This window comes from Homo sapiens, chromosome 13 (genome assembly GCF_000001405.40).
Source record: "Homo sapiens chromosome 13, GRCh38.p14 Primary Assembly".
Lineage (NCBI taxonomy): Eukaryota > Metazoa > Chordata > Mammalia > Primates > Hominidae > Homo > Homo sapiens.
In genome coordinates, this window is record NC_000013.11 from 66,043,200 (window position 1) to 66,062,347 (window position 19,148).

Genomic DNA, 19,148 nt, shown 5'->3' on the forward strand with positions numbered 1-19,148 from the left:
TCTGTTATTTTCAGCAATAACAATGAAAGAAATTAAGGCTCCGTTATTAGACACAAATTATTTCCCCTATTTTGAGGTCTCAAAAATGTGAATGTCTCTTTTTTTTTTTTTTTTAATACAGTGTGTTATTCCCTGAAAGAATGTTTCTTCTAACTCAGAGTTTCTTGACCTCAGATTTATTGACCTTTTGGCCTGAATAATTCTCTGTTGTAGGAAACTATATTCATTTTGTAGAATAGTAAGCAGCATTCTTGACTTCCACTCTGTAGATGCCCATAATATCTTGTGACCACCAAAAATGTTTTCAGACATGAGATATTGACAAATATTCCCTGAGAGTTTCAGAATGCCTCCTGGTTGAGAATCACTGTGAGGTGAACCTTCAGATGCCATTCAGTTACTTTTACTAAATCCTAAAATGTAGATATAGATCACCAGAAAAAAAAAAAAAGAAAAATCAGCAGGTTTTCCCTACAGCATGTCTCAGTTATTCAAGTGGAGTAACCTCATGCTAAAACATGTTTGTTGCTTTGTAATTTAAAAACTATAAAATAGAAAGTCAGTAATAGTGAGTCAATTTATTCTAATTTGGGGGTTGCTGATAAAATATCTGTAAGTTGTATCAATGCGTGGTTCACAGTATGCTTTCAAAAAACCTGTTGAAAAATGTCTAACCCTCTCCTGAGTTAATAATTCCACCAAATGACATGTTTGCTATTTATTCATTTATTCAAGAAATACTAAGTTACTAAGGACAGGATCTATGCTGACTGCTGGAGTCACAAGAAGAGGAAAGTTAATAATTATGATGGTGTCTTGAAGCAATTTCCAGAAAGACTCAATTGCTCCATCAAGGCCCAACAAGGCATATAGTGCAACCTGTAGCCACAAATATAAATTTTTAAAGATAAAGGTTTACAACCGAATTGGCTTAAAAGTCTACATAAAAATTATTCAGGAAGAAAAAAGCTTTGATTTATGTGTATTATAGTTTTGATGTGTCATTCAGTATGTAAACATATGAATAATAAATGAAATTTCTCAAATACACACATTTGCAAGATGATCGTATAGTTATCACAATGTACATAATATGGACATAAGTTATAATATTTTTATAGAAATAAATATTTTATATTTATTTCTGAAATAAGATTTGTATTTTAAGAATATTTTATCAATACATTTATGAATGCTTTGCATATTCTTTTTATTCTTTAAACTAAAATGATTACTAATAGATTACATGTTCTAATATTTCAAAACAGTAAAATCAAAAAGAAGACTTAGATGAATATAAACATGCTTGAAATTTTTTATTTGTCTCCTAAGATCTTATGAAAGCTTTTGAAAGCTTGATCTTAATCCTTTACTTTGCTTCATTTTAAACTAGACTATAAAACCAAATTCCAAGTCAGAGTTTAATCTTCATTACTCAATGCCTTTTCTGATGAGAACTTGTATTTTTTTGACATCAACGCATTTGCTAACACATATTACTCCGTACATTTTGTTTAACACTAACTAAAGAGTTTATTTTCTGTTTGTGAATGTAGTCATTGGATATTCTGACTGGTCTAGGCTGTTAATATCTCTACAATCTCTAGAGAGGTGGAACTGGCCAAGGAGTTCATTCAAATTGTTCCTCTCCACCTTTAGTGTTCTTCATAAGACATAGTTCCAAGATAGTCAGTCACAATAAAGGAGAAGCATCAAATTAGCACATTGAAATCCTGCCTAGGTTGCAGCTTAGGACGCATTCTATGTGTGCTACAGCAGTGCTTGGCATTAGTAGGCTCTCAATTCACATTGCTAAGTGAAGAAGGAATAACTGAATACAAAATGGTACGCTAATTCAATCTTTCTATCTGGATTCAGTCAACGTGGAGTCTGTGGATTCTATTAGTAACTTGCCTAGCTGTGCATGTTTTAATATAGATAAACAATTTGATAGCTTCCTAACCTGCCTTGCTACTGAATGATGACTGGAGAACGTAGGACTGCCACTGCTTTTGGAAATACTGCTAGTGGCAAAATATAAGTATACAAGTTAGAGACGTAGTTCTTAATTGTTAGTAGAAAGAGAGCTTTCCCTTCAGAGCAACATATTTCAAAACAGATTTTGAAACATTTACCTGAAACATGAGCAAATAGATTTCTCAACCTCTGGGGCATTTTCAGTCTTTATATTTTTAGCCAGTTGTCTATCATTTAGAATAGTAACACCAGTTTCAACCATCCTACAACTACAATATTTATTCTGGGACTTTTAGAGTTGCAAACATTCCTTTAGCTGCTGTGGGAGTTTTATTGATAGATAACCTCTGGTGTTTCAGGACTTGGAAGCTTAATATCCCTGCACTTGAGAGCTTGGTACAACTCTGCCTCCTCCTACTATAAGTAAAATCATCAATTAGCTGATTATCCTAACACCTTAGCTAATACCCTTATCTGAAAATAACTTCTGCTAACACTGGCATGATACAAGGGACAGTACCTTGCTCATGGCTTCTCCCTGCCAAGTTCTGATCCTTCAGTTCTTCTGCTTCCAGACCAAGCAAAAATGATGCGGGGAAGAAAAGATGCAAGATCTCCTTACTCTATGGTTTATGTAAGCCTGATCTAACTTTACGGTATTTCCCTTCTAATCAGGATCAGATTATAGCATCAAGAATGTGCAAAATATCCACAGGCTTTCAAAAGGCAGCTTCTTTCCTTCTTTTGCTAAGGGGTGTGGGAAGGGAAATTTCAGTAAGTTCATCTCTTCCTTAGAGAAGATAGTTTCAATGTTAATTTGATTATTTTTCTATTTCAGTGTGATTCTGTTCCAAAAATCTTTTCAAGTCTGTTTCTGAAACACACATACGTATGTATATATCTATGTACACTCAAATATTGAACAGTTAATAGTAAAGATTTCTCCGCTTTTCTTCAGGCACCTTCTAACCCACGACTTCTGTTTCTTAGAAGTGCCTAAGGCATTGGAATGACATCAAAGAGCCAGTAACTTGGCATTTACTATATTAATACTAATCTAGGGGAAATAAGAAACTATTAGAGTATATATTCACAACCTTCAAGCTTTCACTTGATCATAGCAAAATGTTAACATGTAAACACTTCAAAGAAACAATGTATTTTTTTCTTGGGTAATTTAGCATTCATTTTGAAGGAAAAATTAGTATCCTTAATATATTTGCAATAGCTAAAGTTCAGGTCAACTTTATCTAGCATGTGAAGGTCAGTTATTTGATAAATAGTGACCACTTCATACTTGGGAAACCCTGCTTTTGATAAATAATCTCCAGATAATAATTGTTACTTCTACTGCTTTATAAAGACTGCTTGAGTGTGGGGTCAAACTAACCTTTCATTAAATCAAAGCAGTGAACCAGATGCTTAGAATAAGGATGATAATTAATCCATAGCCTCGTAGAAGAACAAAGGCTCATTTGAAGAAGGCATTTATATGCTAGAATCATTTCTTTTGTTCTTGTTTTGTTTAGTATCTCTTGGTAATTGAATTCATAAGAGATTTGAGAAACATATTAGATAACATTTATTATGTGACAGCATATCAGCATTTCAGAAAACCCTCGTGTATGTACCTAGAGGATCAATTTACCTTTGATCCAATTTTATATTATGATTAAGTATCAAAATCAAAATGTTATCAAATGATAAACAATAAATTCTACCTTGGTTTCATGGATTTGGTTTCTACAAATTGTATTAGTCTGTTTTCATGTTGCTAATAAAGACATACCCAAGACTGGGTAATTTATAAAGAAAAAGAAGTGTAATGGACTCATGATTCCACATGGCTGGGGAGGCCTCAAAATCATGGAGGAGGGTGAAAGATACATCTTACATCACAGCAAGCAAGAGAGAGAATGAGAAGCAAGTGAAACAAGTCTCCCTTTATAATACCATCAGATCTCCTGAGACTTATTCACTACCCAGAGAGCAGTATGAGGAAACTGCCCTCATGATTCAATTAGCTCCCACAGGTCCCTCCCACAACATGTGGGAATAATGGGAGCTATAATTCAAGATGAGATTCAGGTAGGGACACAGCCAAACTGCATCATTTCATCCCTAGCCCCTCCCAAATCTCATGTCCTCACATTTCAAAACCATTCATGACTTCCCAACATTCCCCCAAAGTCTTAACTCATTTCAGCATTAACTCAAATGTACACAGTCCAATGTTTCATCTGAAACCAGGCAAGTCCATTCCCCCTGTGAGCCTGTAAAATCAAAAGCAAGTTAATTACTTCCTGGATACAATGGGGGTACAGGCATTGAGTAAATACAACCATTCCAAATGGGGGCAATTGGCCAAAACAAGGAGTCTACAGGCCCCATACAAGTCTGAAATCCAGTGGGGCAGCCCAATCTTAAGGCTCAAAAATGCTTTCCTTTCACTCCGTGGGTCACATCCAGGCCCCACTGATGCAAGAGGTGGGTTCCCATGGTCTTGGGCAGCGCCACTCCTTTGACTTTGCAGGATACAGTCTCCTTCCTGGCTGCTTTCACTGGCTGGCATTGAGTGTCTGCAGCTCTTCCAGGTGCATGGTGCAAGCTGTTAGTGGATCTACCATTCTGGGGTCTGGAGGACAGTGGGCCTCTTCTCACAGCTCCACTAGGCAGTGCCTCAATAGGGACTCTGTGTGCAGGCTCTGACCCCTCATTTCACTTCTGCACCGTCCTAGCAGGGGTTCTCCATGAGGGCCCCGCCCCTGCAGCAAATGTTTGCCTGGGCATCCAGGCACGTCCATACAGCCTCTGAAATCTAGCGGGAGGTTTCCAAACCCCAATTCTTGACTTCTGTGCACTCACAGGCTCAACACCATGTGGAAGTTACAAAGGCTTGGGGCTCGCACCCTCTGAAGCCATGGCCCGAGCTCTACATCGGCCCCTTTCAGCCATGGCTGGAGTAGCTGGGACACAGGGCACCAAGTCCCTAGGCTGCACACAATATGGGGACCCTGGGCCCAGCATATGAAACCATTTTTTCCTCCTAGGTCTTCAGGCCGGGGATGGAAGGGGCTGACATGAAAATCTCTGACATACCCTGGAGACATTTTCCCCATTGCCTTGGGGATTAATATTCAGCTCCTAATTACTTATGCAAATGTCTGCAGTCGGCTTGAATTTTTCCTCAGAAAATGGGATTTTCTTTTTGATAGCATTTTTAGGCTGCAAATTTTCTGAATGTTTATGCTCTGCTTACCTTATAAAACTGAATGCCTTTAACAGCACCCAAGTCACCTTTTAAATGCTTTGCTGCTTAGAAATATATTCCACCAGATACTCTAAATTATCTCTCTCAAGTTCAAAGTTCCACAAATCTCTGTGGCAGCAGCAAAATGTCTCCAGTCTATTTGCTAAAACATAACAAGAGTCACCTTTTCTCTAGTTCCCAATAAGTTCCTCATCTCCATCTGAGACCACCTCAGCCTGGACTTTATTTGTCCATATCACTATTGGCACTTTGGGCAAAGCCATTCAACAAGTCTCTCGGAAGTTCCAAACTTTCCCACATGTTCCTGTTTTCTTCTGAGCCCTCCATACTCTTGCAACTCCTGCCTATCACCCAGTTTCAAAGTTGCTTCCACATTTTTGGGTATTATTACAGCAGCAACCCAGTCTCAGTAACAATTTATTGTATTAGTCTGTTTTCATGCTGCTAATAAAGACATACCTGAGACTGGGTAATTTATGAAGAAAAAAATGTCTAATGGACTCACATGGCTGGGGACTCAGTTCACGGAGTTTAGTGGACACAGTTTAATGGACTCACATGGCTGGGGAGGCCTCACAATCATGATGGAGGCTGAAAGGCATGTCTCGCATTGCAGCAGGGAAGAGCAAGAATGAGAACCAACCAAAAGGGGTTTCCCCATATAAAACCATCTGATCTCGTGAGGTTTACTCACTACCACACAAGCAGTATGGGTGAAACTGCCCCCGTGATTCAATTACCTCCCACTGGATTCCTCCTACAACTTGGGAATTATGGGAGCTGCAATTCAAGATGAGATCTTGGTGGGGACACAGCCTAACCATATCACAAATGATCATGAATGGGTTTCTTTCTAGAAATATATTGAAGAAAATAGATTCTAGCAAGTTTGGGTAAATCTGACTAGGCCAAAATGTAAAATTCCATTCCTTCTTGTGTTTATGTTAACAAAACTAGGTTCTAATACTCATCAAATTTTTTGTACAATTTTTTGTATCAAAAAAGAAAAATTTTTGTGATACAGTCTAAATTTTTACAAAGATTTTTATAGTCCTACTTATTTTTTATACTAACCGTGCAAGGGAAGAAAATTAAGCAGAGCATATCTAAACAATCTAAGAAACACAATTCCCCGTATATACCCCAAAATGAAGAAACTCATCTCAAATCATAACTTAAAAATAAGCATTAGAAACTGAAGCAGACTGGCATTGCACACAGCAAGTCTTAACAGAAAAAATAATTTTAATTCATCCATTCAGTAAATATTTACCACTTGCTTTCCATATGACAGCCACTGTCCTATTTAATATAAATGAGCAGTAAATATTCTATGGTGACAATTTTAAAAAATCAATAAAAATTCCACAAAAAAGTATTTAAAACTTTTACAGAATGGGCAGCCCACATTTGAAATTGAAAAATAATTAGAAAACTAGGAGGAAGACAGATAATTGTATAAAAAATGTTTGGCAATTTGAAATACTGCCAGTGGATCAAGTAAAAAGAATTTTATTTTTTTCTATTGGTAATAAGATGGAGAAATATTTATTGAAATAAATTTTATTGTGATGATGAGACAATTATCAAGGTGCTGTGGTTCAAGTGAGGAATATGAGCAAGTAAAGAAAGTAACAGTGTTGAAAACTCTTAAAATACCTTGAAGAGAAGAATGCTGTGGTGGAGGATAGAGGATAGAGAGCCAACAGATTGAGGATCTTTAATGAGATAACTTGGTAACTTAATGCTTATACACTAATGAATAGACCTTAGCAAGGAGGGCAGCAATAAAAGGAGAGAGGAGAAAAAGTAGCATAAAATTCGTAAGTGATATTGCTTCCATTGGAAAAGGAGAGTTAAAGAACAGGGCAGGGCAGACACAAGTAAGTTTATTTGTTTGGTGGCAGAAGTTGGGATTCATCTTGTTAAATGACTCCTATTTCAATGTAAATATGCATTAATTCAACAATTTCTACACTATTGTTGATATTTCTGAATGTGGGAGAAAAGTGGAGAGGGGAATTTAAGGAGAGTTTAAGGCAATTTATAGAGACTTGTGCAAAATATTTAAATAGTTTGTATAAGAAACGGGAGCAAGAAATGAAGACGGAATTTGGAAAAGGTTGCAAGGTTCCGGGTGAAGAAGAATGTCATAAATTAGTATTGGCAAAAATCTACATAATTCTGCAGGTATCTCTAATGGTGCTTAGTAGCCAGGTGTATGTGTAGAAAAGTTAGGCTTTTGTTGTTGTTGTTGTTGTTGTTGTTGTTTTCTTCAAGCAGTGTGGCTAAAGAGCAATAGGAAAAAAGAGAACTGGAAAAAAATAGGATCAGAAAATGATTGAAATGATACACCAAGTTTCAGAGACATGATGAATGAAGAGATTATGGAAAGGGGTACAAAGAACGAAAATGGAGGGTTCAAGGAACAGGAGGACTATCTGCAGTTGAAGAAAATGTATATTGATAATAATTAAGATGAATAAACTGGTTGATAACTGGGGAGAAGAATGCTTCAGTTCAAGTTTTAATTGTTTAAGAGTTGCCAGGTGATGATAGTATCTAGTGTAGGAAAACACTGAGAGAAGATAAAAGTCACTAAAGGTGAAAAAAATTATAAACTGAAACCCAATCTAAAAAGAATTTAGATGGTTTCTCAGTATGGGAACTACTCTAAATATAATGGATAACCAGAGAAGTATTAGAACCCATCTGAGAGTAATGACAACCAAGAAAACTACCTTTAGTAAAGAAAATAATGGAATAACACTTCAAAGTGGATAAAAAGAAAAGAGAAAGAAGATATTTTATAGTGGAAAGTGCACAGCATTTAGAACGTGACAGTCCTTCATTCATGTCCCAACTGTACCATTTACTAGATCTGTGGCATTGTCTATCTGAACCTTGGCTTTATCAATAGTAAAATATAGATTCTCTCAATATATATTTATCATGCTATTTCTTTATGCCAGAGAATGGATTAAATAATTATAACCTGTTCTTTGGATGAAATAAATGTATTATAAAACCAGATGTGTAAATATATGAATATTATCTCATAGAAATTCTGTTTCCACAACAATAAAAAATTAAGTATATGTTTCAGTACTTTCATGTGAAGATACCTTAAGGTTATTAAAATACATCAGAATAATTTCATCTTTGTCTAATATATATCAAATTTTGTTGAGCTTTTTTGAAAATCGCATTGTTACTTCCTCTTTGGATGGTAACATGCCCTGAGATTTCTCTTAGTTGCTTTGTTTGCAAGGGCCTTATATGGCTATAGCATGTCTGCCTCCTTGTTATCAAATATAATATAGTATAGTGAGTTCTACTTTATGATTAAAAAATAAATTTTCATTAATAATATACATTCAGTTAATATAAATTTTATCCTAATATAAAATTCATATATATATTTATATATAGTTATATATATAGTATATATATACATAGTTTAAAAATTATATAGGAGATTCTTTGCAGAGATTGCTATTTCAGAATAGGTGGGTCTGAGATGAGTGAAAACACCTTTTTAGGACCTTTGAATTTTAAATTAATTTATCAATTATGTGAGAAGATATGCTGATGCTTAATACTTACTGAAATTAAACATAATTAAACAGTTTCATCACCTATTTTCCAAACAATTATTATTGTCATGAGGATGTCTGTAATATCACTAAAGCCTATTGCATGCCGCTGGTATCTTGTGATGAAAAATTGACAAAAATGTTTAGATTTAATTTAGCTGAATATATTGCCTCCTAAAAATAGAAAGAAAAAGAAACAAATTATATTAAAAAATACTCCTAAGAAAAATCTGTTTCTAACTAAAGCAATTTTTATTAAACCCAATCTATCCATGCTTTTCCAGGTTAATTGGAATTATAAGGATTCCCTTTCAACACTGTAAAAAATCTCTTAATTGTAATTGGTCCTGTGACCTCTTGTCTAGGCTGCCATGGTGTGACAGCTGACCACTTCTGGCTCTAACTAGGCATCAGAGGAACTTTTGGTTGTTCGGTTGGTGATGGCTGAAAATCAGTCTTCACTTCCTTTATTATAGGTAGGCTGAGGAAATTGTATTTGCTTCTTTTTTTTGTTGTTGTAATCAATTACTGATTCCTAAGCACATTTTTCCACACTTGTTTAAACATCTATTTTCCTAAATGTGAAGACCACCCAGCTATTGTGAGAACAGATTATCACACTTTTAGTATGTTCTCAATTATTCTCACATTTACTTTCTACATCACCCACTTTAGGGTTTACTAAGAGTTACACAATTCAGAGTGTGGATTAGCATTTCACTTAAAGAGCACTGGTAGTTTAACACTTAGATTCATAATGCTCTTCCATCTCACCAAGAGCCTGTTTTTAAACCTAACATCAATCTACAAACATAATAAGCAGGATTATACAGAAACACACATGCAGAACATTTTCATCATAACAGATGAGTGGCTCTCAGAGCAGACAAGAACCCATAGGGTATTCACTGCCATGACTCACTCGTCTCTTCAAAATGCTGTATGCTTTATACATGCAATTTTAAAATCTCACTGCTTCTTAGCACAAGTTAAGATAGAGCCTGTTGCTCCCCCTGAATGTATCATGTTCATTTCTACTCTAAGCCCTTGTTTTATGTTTTCTCTCCATATTGTTGGGCCTACATTTTCCTTCACACCTCCTTCATCTATCTTACCTATTTTGAAGGTACTAGTTGAGGTACCACTTCCGCAATGCTTGTTTGATCCTGCCAACCCAGAGTTCACATTATTTCTTAAGTAGTTCTTTCACCAACCGCATTTTTTTTTTTTTTTTTTTTGAGCAGGTACTGTTATCTTACAAGAGGAAAAGAAACCCTGGCTTTGAACTCAGTACTGGGCAAATAATATGTCCTCAGTTTTGAGAAGGGTGTGGATATTACCATTTCTTATTGTCAACACAACAAGCAAGGATGAGATGCATCCATTCAAGCTTTTACTTCTATTTGCCTTCATTTTAGTGCTATCCTGGGGAGTTGCAGTTCTAAGTCTCAGAATGCTAGTTGTTGGGTCTTGCCTTTAGTAGGAAGTTTCTGCACTTAAGGATGATACTGCTCTGTGAGTAGGCTCATTTTAATTTTCCGTGGCAAAGAATGAGAAATTTTTTTTCACTAGACAAACTGGGGCCATATACAACTTTTTTTTTTTTTCTGACTATAGATGCAGAGACTTTTGTGTGCCACGATATAAACAATCCCTGGACTGTGACTGGTCCCATAAGGCTTGATCTGTCAGTTCACATCCCTTATCTAGCTTCTTGCTTAGGTAAACTGAAGTCCTCTTTGAAGGAAGCAAGGTAGAATGTGAAGGAAGGAATAAACAGCTCCACTCAATTTTCAGGCCTAAGATCATAACCCGCATCAAAAGCTAGAGAAACTCAATGTTAAATGAATGACATTAGATTATCTTACAGTTATTACCAAATGAGTAATTTCCTTCCATATGGTTCTTCATGCACAGGTACCTCCTCAGGAAACTCTGAAAAAGAAGAAGTAGAAATAGTATGAGACAAGAAACAGTCATATTCCAAAGGTAATAACATTCTCACTTTATCATGTCAAGTTGAAATATGAAAATGAAAAAGTTTAAAAATGTGATTTATTTAGATTTAAAACATTATTCAAGCCACAAAGACAACCATTATGATACAGACCAAACTGTACTTAAATATATTTAAAAAGCTTGATTTAAAAATTTTACCCATGATTTTTCTGCTTTGATTGCCTTTGTTTACCTGATTTTTCCTTCTTTTCCTATTCAATATCAAAATATTAGATGCACATGATAAAAAAATCAAATTGCAAAAGTTTATAATGAAAAAGAATTTCTTATTTTTACCTAGTCTAGTATCCTGGTAAGACATATTAATAATCTAGATTTTTTTTTATTTTAGAGGTTTATAAGGTCATAGTACTTAAAATATTATTATATCAATAATTCTAGATCTATCTATTGGTGTTCTGTAATGAAAAGAATATTCAACTTCTAATACCATTCAATAGTCCTCATTCAACTCACATTTTGATGGGCATCATTAAACTATGATACGATTTATTAATGGCTTTTGTGACAAGACATAAATTCTTAAAATGTGTTTTATTTTTCCATGAAATGTATATACCTCTTTTCTTAAAAAGCCCTGCAGTATGCTAAGATTACTTGTCACTGTCTTAGTCAACAAATATTCATTTAGTATCTGCCATATGCCAGACACTGTTTTAGGTAAAGAGGATTCAGCAGAGAACAAAACAGAAAAACAGACCAACAAAAATGTCCCTGTCCTCAGGAGGCTTACAATCTGATATATCAGAATTATATATTATAATTACATATACATATACAATTAAAATAATTAAAAAAAAAGAGAGAGAGAGAAATGCAAACCAAAACCACAATGAGGTAACACCTCACACCAGTCAGAATAGCTATTATTAAAAAGTCAGAAAGTAGCAGATGTTGGTGGGGTTGCAGAGAAAAGGGAAAGCTTATACCCTGCTGATGGGAATGTAAATTGGTGCAGCCACTCTAGAAAGCAGTTTGGAGATTTTTCAAAGAACTTAAAAGAGAATCACCATTTGACTCAGCAATCTCATTATTGGATATATACACAAAGGAATATAAATTGTTCTACCGTAAGGACACAGGCACATGTATGTTCATTGCAGCACTCTTCACAAAAGCAAAGACATGGAATCTACCTAGGTGCCCACCAATAATGGACTAGATAAAGAAAATGTGGTACATATGCACCATGGAATACCATGCAGCTATAAAAAAATGAGATCATAGCCTTTGCAGCAACCTGGAAGGAGCTGGAGGTCATAATCCAAAGTGAATTAATGAAGCAAAGGAAAATTAAATACCATGTGTTCTCACTTATAATTGGGAGCTAAACATTGAGTACACATGAACACAAAAAAGGGAACAATAGACACTGGGGCTTGAATTTGAGGGTGGAGGGTTGGAGGAGGGTGAGGATTAAAAAACAACCTATTGGGTGTTATTCTGATTATCTGGGTAACAAAATTATCAGTACACCAAATCCTCAAACCCCCTTGACATGTAATTTACCCTGTAACAAACATGTACATGTACCCCCTGAACCTAAAAGTTGGAAAGAAAACAAATTGCTATATGAAAGTTTCCTTCATATGAATCTGTTTATTCAGCTGTTTTTGTAGCAGTATCAAATTATTTTATTTGAATATGGATTAAAGAATAATGTGCCTTAACTATACTTTAAATTTATCCACCTCACTGTCATATTCTACATAAAACAGAAAATTTTCCCCCATTCACAGGTGCCCTTAAACCACCTTTCCCAGGATGGACTTACTTTGTTCAGGATTATTGCTCAGATATCATATTTCTGAGTTAGAAGGAGTGTTTTCTGAATCCTTGTATATTTAGAGTCACGTTTTCCTGAACTCCCATATGTTTTCTCTCTATATATCCTCAAGTAACTTCAGAAATAACATATGGAGTATAAGTTATTTGAGTACTTGATTGTTAAAGTTATCTTCATGTTGCTCTTATAATTAATTGACATTTTAATATAGATATTGAAACTCAAATCATCATTTTATCATAACTTACAAGGCTTTGCTTCATTATTTGTAAAATATTTTGTGTTAATAATGAGAAGCTGATTCCAGTCTGACTCTTTTCCGTTGCTGGTGACATTTTTTTGTTCAAGATTTTTAAATTCCCTTTTCAACCAGGGTATTATAAAAGTTCTTGAGGATATGTCTTTGTGTGGGCTTAAAACTTTCTTTGCTCAACATTTGGTGAGGCTTTTCAATCTGTCTAGTTAGGTCTCTGTTTTCAGTTTTAGAAGACACTGTTTTAATTTTCCCTTTTGATCCATTTTGTCTGACCTTTCTTTCTGAAAATCCTTTTGGTGAGAATTGAACCTGCTGGATTGACTTTTTTTCCCCCATGTTCAGTTTTCTTTCACATTTTTTGTTTGTTTTACTGAGCTCTCCCTGATAAATTTTATCGTCTGATATTTATTTATAATTTTTATTTATTTGTGATAGCTGATGGCTCTTTTCTCTGCTAGTTTTTTTTCATATCTTTTAAACATTTTAATTAGCATAATACCTTCTTTCTCTAAGAATGACAATTAGAATAGATTTTTTGTAAATATTCTCTCCATAATTTCCATTGATCCCAAGGCCCACTGCTTTGTTTATTTTGATCTTCCTTTTTAATAAGTGTTAATTTTTTTGTATAAGTCCTTCATTGCAAATTTACATTTCATAAATGAAGAAATAGGACAAGTGAATAGTTTGATGTAAGGGGTATGAGCTCCCTGCTGAGTTATTGGATCTGTTTCCATGTTACATTTCCTCTGAAAAAGAAGGCTGAGAGGGAGATCTGGGGATTTAGGTGGAGCTTATGGGCTGAAACCTTCAACTTTAGGGAGCATGAGCACAGGCATTAGGCTGTGAAGGCAGGACTGTCTGAAGGTAAGCACTTCTGTGCCTACCTGGGTCAATACCTGACCTTGGAACCTTTATTGTCCAAAATCAGGGCACTCATTTTCTTTAGAGAAATCTTTCTTCATTCTTAACTCAGAAGAAAACCAGGCTGTCAGCCATTTTTTGAGTGTGAGGATCATCACATTTTCAGAGGGAAGTACTGAAAGGAGATGAATAAAGGCTAGGGGTGTCTATGGACAGAAATTCCTGTTCCTCACCATTCTCAGTCTAGTCCTGGGTACCTATCCAACCCCAGCTCTGAGGTCAGGTCTTCCTAGAGCACCCATCTTCACTGCAGACCCCTCATGCACTTACCCTAGGCTGCGGCTTCTGCTTCTCTGTCATAGGCATTGATACCTTGAATAGGGGTAAAGTCCAGTTCTGAGATCTATTAAAATCACCTCAAGCATTCATGATCTTTTCTACTCCTTGTTTATGCTAATAGCTTTTTTCCTTTTTATAAATGTATAATGTCACATCAATGGCAGCTTAGTAAGAAGAATGTATTATACAAGCATATATGCTAAGTCTGCTATCTTGAACTGGAAACTTTGACCGTTTTGCTATTTCTAGAATATTTGGAGTGGTGAAAATAATTGTTAAACTTCACATTATTCTCTTACCTTTTATAATTGAGCAACTTGGTGTACATATATATGTATATAACACTATACTATATACAAAAATTATGTATATATACATGCAGACTTATATATAACTAATCCATGCCATTATAGTTATTTATATATGTAACATGCCCAAAAGATACCAGATACTAATTCATTAAATTTACATATGTATAATTGGAACATATAGGTGGCATTACATTTATTTCACCATTCACACTTTAACTGAAATAGTCTCATACCTTTTTTGTGTTAATCATGTTTGTTTTTTATGGTAATCTAGTATTACGTTAGAGATCCTATGTTAAATTCCTGTAAACAATTTTAAATTAGCTCATACTAATTTAATGAGCTAGCTGTTCATTAAAATTTTGACTTGGTTATAGTGGTAGTGTTATTCTATAAGGGAAACAAAGAAGTGGTACATATTGACAAAAAGCAATCATTGTTTACAGATACTATTTAAAAAGCATAATTCAGAAATGACTGATTATTTTTCTTTTCTATTTTCCTAATTCATTTAGGGGAAAAATATATATTTTCCTATTTATCTTTCTATAAAAAACTATTTTGTATAAATTTTAGCCCATATAACAAAACTTAATTGAAAGATCATTATAATTATCAGGCCAGGCACTGTGGGTCACACCTGTAATCCCAGCACTTTGGGAGGCTGAAGCGGGCAGATTACCTGAAGTCAGGAGTTGGAGATCAGCCTGGCCAACACGGTGAAACCCTGTCTCTACTAAAAATACAAAAATTAGCTGGGCTTGATGGCGGGTACCTGCAATCCTAATTCCAGCTACTCGGGAGGCTGCGGCCAAAGAAGAATTGCTTGAACCCGGGAGGCAGAAGTTGCAGTGTCCCGAGATCGCATCACTGCACGCCAGCCTGGGCCACAGAGTATATATATAGTTATTTTATGTGCAAATTTTCAAATAAAGACATTTATACTATGATACCGTATATAAGTTCCAGAAAAGCCTCTTGTTTTATAGAATTGTGCCTAAAAAATTACAGAATTAGGAAAAATTTGTTTAGAAGGCAGACAGATCTAAATATATGCAAACATTAAAGAGTATTATCAAAAAATACAAGTTAATAAAATACTAACAAGTTTTAAAGTATGAATTTAACTTCAATTAAATAATTGTGAATGTAAATAAAATCCTTAAAAAACTATAAAGAAGTCATATCCAGAATAGATAAAGATCTCCTACAAGTTAAAAATTAAAGGCAAGCAACTCAAGAAAAATAGATAAAATACTTGAACAAATATTTCATGAAAGGGGATACTAAAATGTACAATACACATATGAAATTATACCCAATTTTATTTGATTAACAAAGGTAAATTGAAACCAAAATGAAATACAACTGATGTGGTTACCGTAGCCTTGTAGTATCATTTGAAGTCAGGTAGTATGATGCCTCCAGCTTTGATCTTTCTGCTTAGGATTGTCTTAGCTATGTGGGCTCTTTTTTGGTTCCATATGAACTTTAAGGTACTTTTTTCTAATTCTGTGAAGAATGTCAGTGGTAGTTTGATGGAAATAGCATTGAATCTAAAAGTTACTTTGGGCAGTATGGCCATTTTCGTGATATTGATTCTTCCTATCCATGAGGATGGAATGTTTTTCCATTTGTTTGTGTTCTCTTACTTTCTTGAACAGTGGTTTGTAGTTCTCCTTGAAGAGGTCCTTCACATCCCTTGTTAGCTGTATTCTTAGGTATTTTACTCTCTTTGTAGCAATTGTGAATGGGAGTTTACTCACGATTTGGCTCTCTGCTTGCCTATTGTTGGTGTAAAAGAATGCTTGTGATTTTTGCGCATTGATTTTGTATCCTGAGACTTTTCTAAAGTTGCTTATCAGTTTAAGGAGTTTGGGGGCTGAAATAATGGGGTTTTCTAAATATAAAATCATGTAGTCTGCAAACGGAGACAATTTGACTTCCTCTCTTTCTATCTGAATACACTATATTTCTTTCTCTTGCCTGATTACCTTGGCCAGAACTTCCAATACTATGTTGAATAGGAGTGGTGAGAGAGGACATCCTTGTCTTGTACCAGTTTTCAAAGGGAATGCTTCCAACTTTTGCCCATTCAATATAATGTTGGCTGTGGGTTTGTCATAAATGGCTGTTATTACTTTGAAATATGTTCCATCAATACCTAGATTCTTGAGAGTTTTTAACATGAAGAGATGTTGAATTTTATAAAAGGCCTCTTCTGCATCTATTGAGATAATCACATCCCTTGTTAGCTGTATTTCTAGCTATTTTATTCTCTTTGTAGCAATTTTGAATGGGAGTTCATTCATAATTTGACCCTCTGGTTGTCTATTGTTGGTGTAAAGGAATACTTGTGATTTTTGCACATTGATTTTGTATGCTGGGGCTTTGCTGAAGTTTCTTATCAGCTTTCGGAGTTTTTGGACTGAGACAATGGGGTTTTCTAAATATAGGATCACGCCGTTTCTGTTTGCCATTTTCTACTACCATTGAGCATATATGCATTTTATGACCATGCAATTCCATTCCTGGTTATGTTTTCAAGATAAACAATAACTAGTGCTCAAGTAGGAAGTCTTGACAGCACCATTTGTCATACATAGTTCATCTGAACTTTACCTGGTAATTGCGGTGACCATCTTTGTTAGCTAATTGACTTTATCCATGGGAGGAACAAACTTCTTATGTCTTTATGATAGATAGTTTTGCAACTTAGAGCGAGGTGCCCAGCTCACCAAAGTTAGGCTCCCACCCTTCCACAGAAACAGGGAGATAGGGTTGCTATCTCCCTTGATCTTTACATTTCAAAGGGATGGCTCCCAGATCCTTGAGAAAGAAATTCCTGGGTAATAAAGCTGACAAAAGGCCTACCTACTTTTCAAAAGAATATATAGATATTGCAAAAGGAGGAGAAAATAGTTACAGGTTTTCTAAGGAAAATGTTCTAAGGGAAAAAAATGTGGGGATAAGTCTCTTCCCTTATTTTCAATAGGAAAAATTAAACCTCTCATTTTAAAATTTTAATTGTCTTTATAACATTTACATAGAAATTCTGTCTGTATGTTAAACCTTAATACAAAGCTTTATAAATGATAAAAATACAATGAGTGTTAAAAAACTTTGAGTCTGCTAAATTATAGTTTGAGGGCCAAATGATGGCTGAGAGCAACTCGCAGTAAGCACTTCTAAAACACAGCACTTCAATGAATTAAGTAGCTAAAAATAAGGTTTACAAATATTTTCTCACATTTCATAGGTTGCCTTCTATGTTGTTGATTGTTTCCTTTGTCTTGTAGAAGGTTTTTAATTTTATGTAGTTCTACTTCTTTATCTTTGGTTTTGTTGCCTGTGCTTTTGATGTCATATCCAAAAAAATCATTGCCAAGAACAATTTCAAGGAGTTTTTGCTATTCTTTATTTTAAGAGTTTAATGGTTTAAGATATTACATTTAAACTTTGAATCTATTATGAGTTAATTTTTTTAAGATACTGTAAGACAAGGGCTTAATTTCATTCTTTTGCATGTGGATATCTAGTTTTTCCAGCACCATTTGTTGAATAGACATTCCTTTCCCGATTGTGTATCCCCAACACCCTTGTCAAAGATTAGTTGACCTTATATGTGTGGGTTTATTTCTGGACTCTCTATTCTGTTTCATTGATCTATGTTTCTGTTTTTATGACACTACTATACTGTTTTGACTATGTTTGCTTTCTAATATAATTTGAAATCCAACAGTGTGATGCCTCCAGCTTTATTTTTTCAAAATTTCTTTGACTATTTAGTTACTTTGTTGTTGTGGTTCCATAATGTTTAGTATATTTTTCTATTTCTATGAAAAATGTCGTTAGAATTTTCATATGGATTGCATTGAATCAATAGATTATGCAGTATGGGAATCTTAACAATACTAATTCTTTCAATTCATGTACATGGGATATCTTTCCATATATTTGTGCCTTCTTCATCAGTTTTCAATGTACAGATCTTTTACCTCCTTGGTTAAATTCATTAAGTATCATATTCTTTTTCATGGTATTGTAAATAGGATTGTTTTCTTAATTTCTTTTTCAGATAGTCTGCTGTTAGTGTATGGAAACACAACTGATTTTTGTATGTTAATTTTGTATTATGAAACTTTACCAATTTTTTTTATTACTTCTAACCGTTTTTTGAGTGGCATCTTTAGGGTTTCTACACATACAGTCATGTCTTCGTCAAACAGAGGCAACTTAAATTCTCCTTTTCATTTTTTATGCTTGCCTACTTGCTCTGGCTAGGTCTTCTAGTACCATACTGAACAGAACTGATGAGAGTTGGCACCCTTGACTTATTTCTGATGTCAGAAGAAAAATTTTCAGTCTTTCGCTATGATTATGATGTTAGCGGTGGGCTTGTTAGCGGTGAACTTTATTAGTGAAGCGGCTACTTGTCTGGAGAATATACCCTGGGGTTCCTCCTTGCGCGCCAGGAAAATTGAGGACACGGACACACACAAGGAGTTTAGGAGCAGAGGTTTAATAGGCAGAAGAGAAGAGGAAGAGAAACAGCTCTCTCCATAGAGAAAGGGGTCTACAAGTGGAAAAGGATTGACTGGCAGCAAATGTGCCAGATTTTATAGTCCGGTTTGAGCAGGCGGTGTCTGATTTAGGTAAGGCTCACAGATTGGTATGACTTTTACATAGTGCAAGGGGAAGGCTGATCGCTCCATCCTAATCTTATTAT

General features: G+C 34.9%; 1 long non-coding RNA gene across 1 annotated transcript in view; it reads left to right on the forward strand.

Moving 5' to 3' along the window:
* LOC105370245 (uncharacterized) overlaps positions 1–19,148 on the forward strand; it is a 79,468-nt gene that overhangs the window by 32,419 nt on the left and 27,901 nt on the right. The window contains exon 2 of the long non-coding RNA XR_942035.1: positions 10,762–10,833. This is a non-coding gene — a long non-coding RNA (uncharacterized LOC105370245). The remainder of the gene's footprint in view (positions 1–10,761; positions 10,834–19,148) is intronic.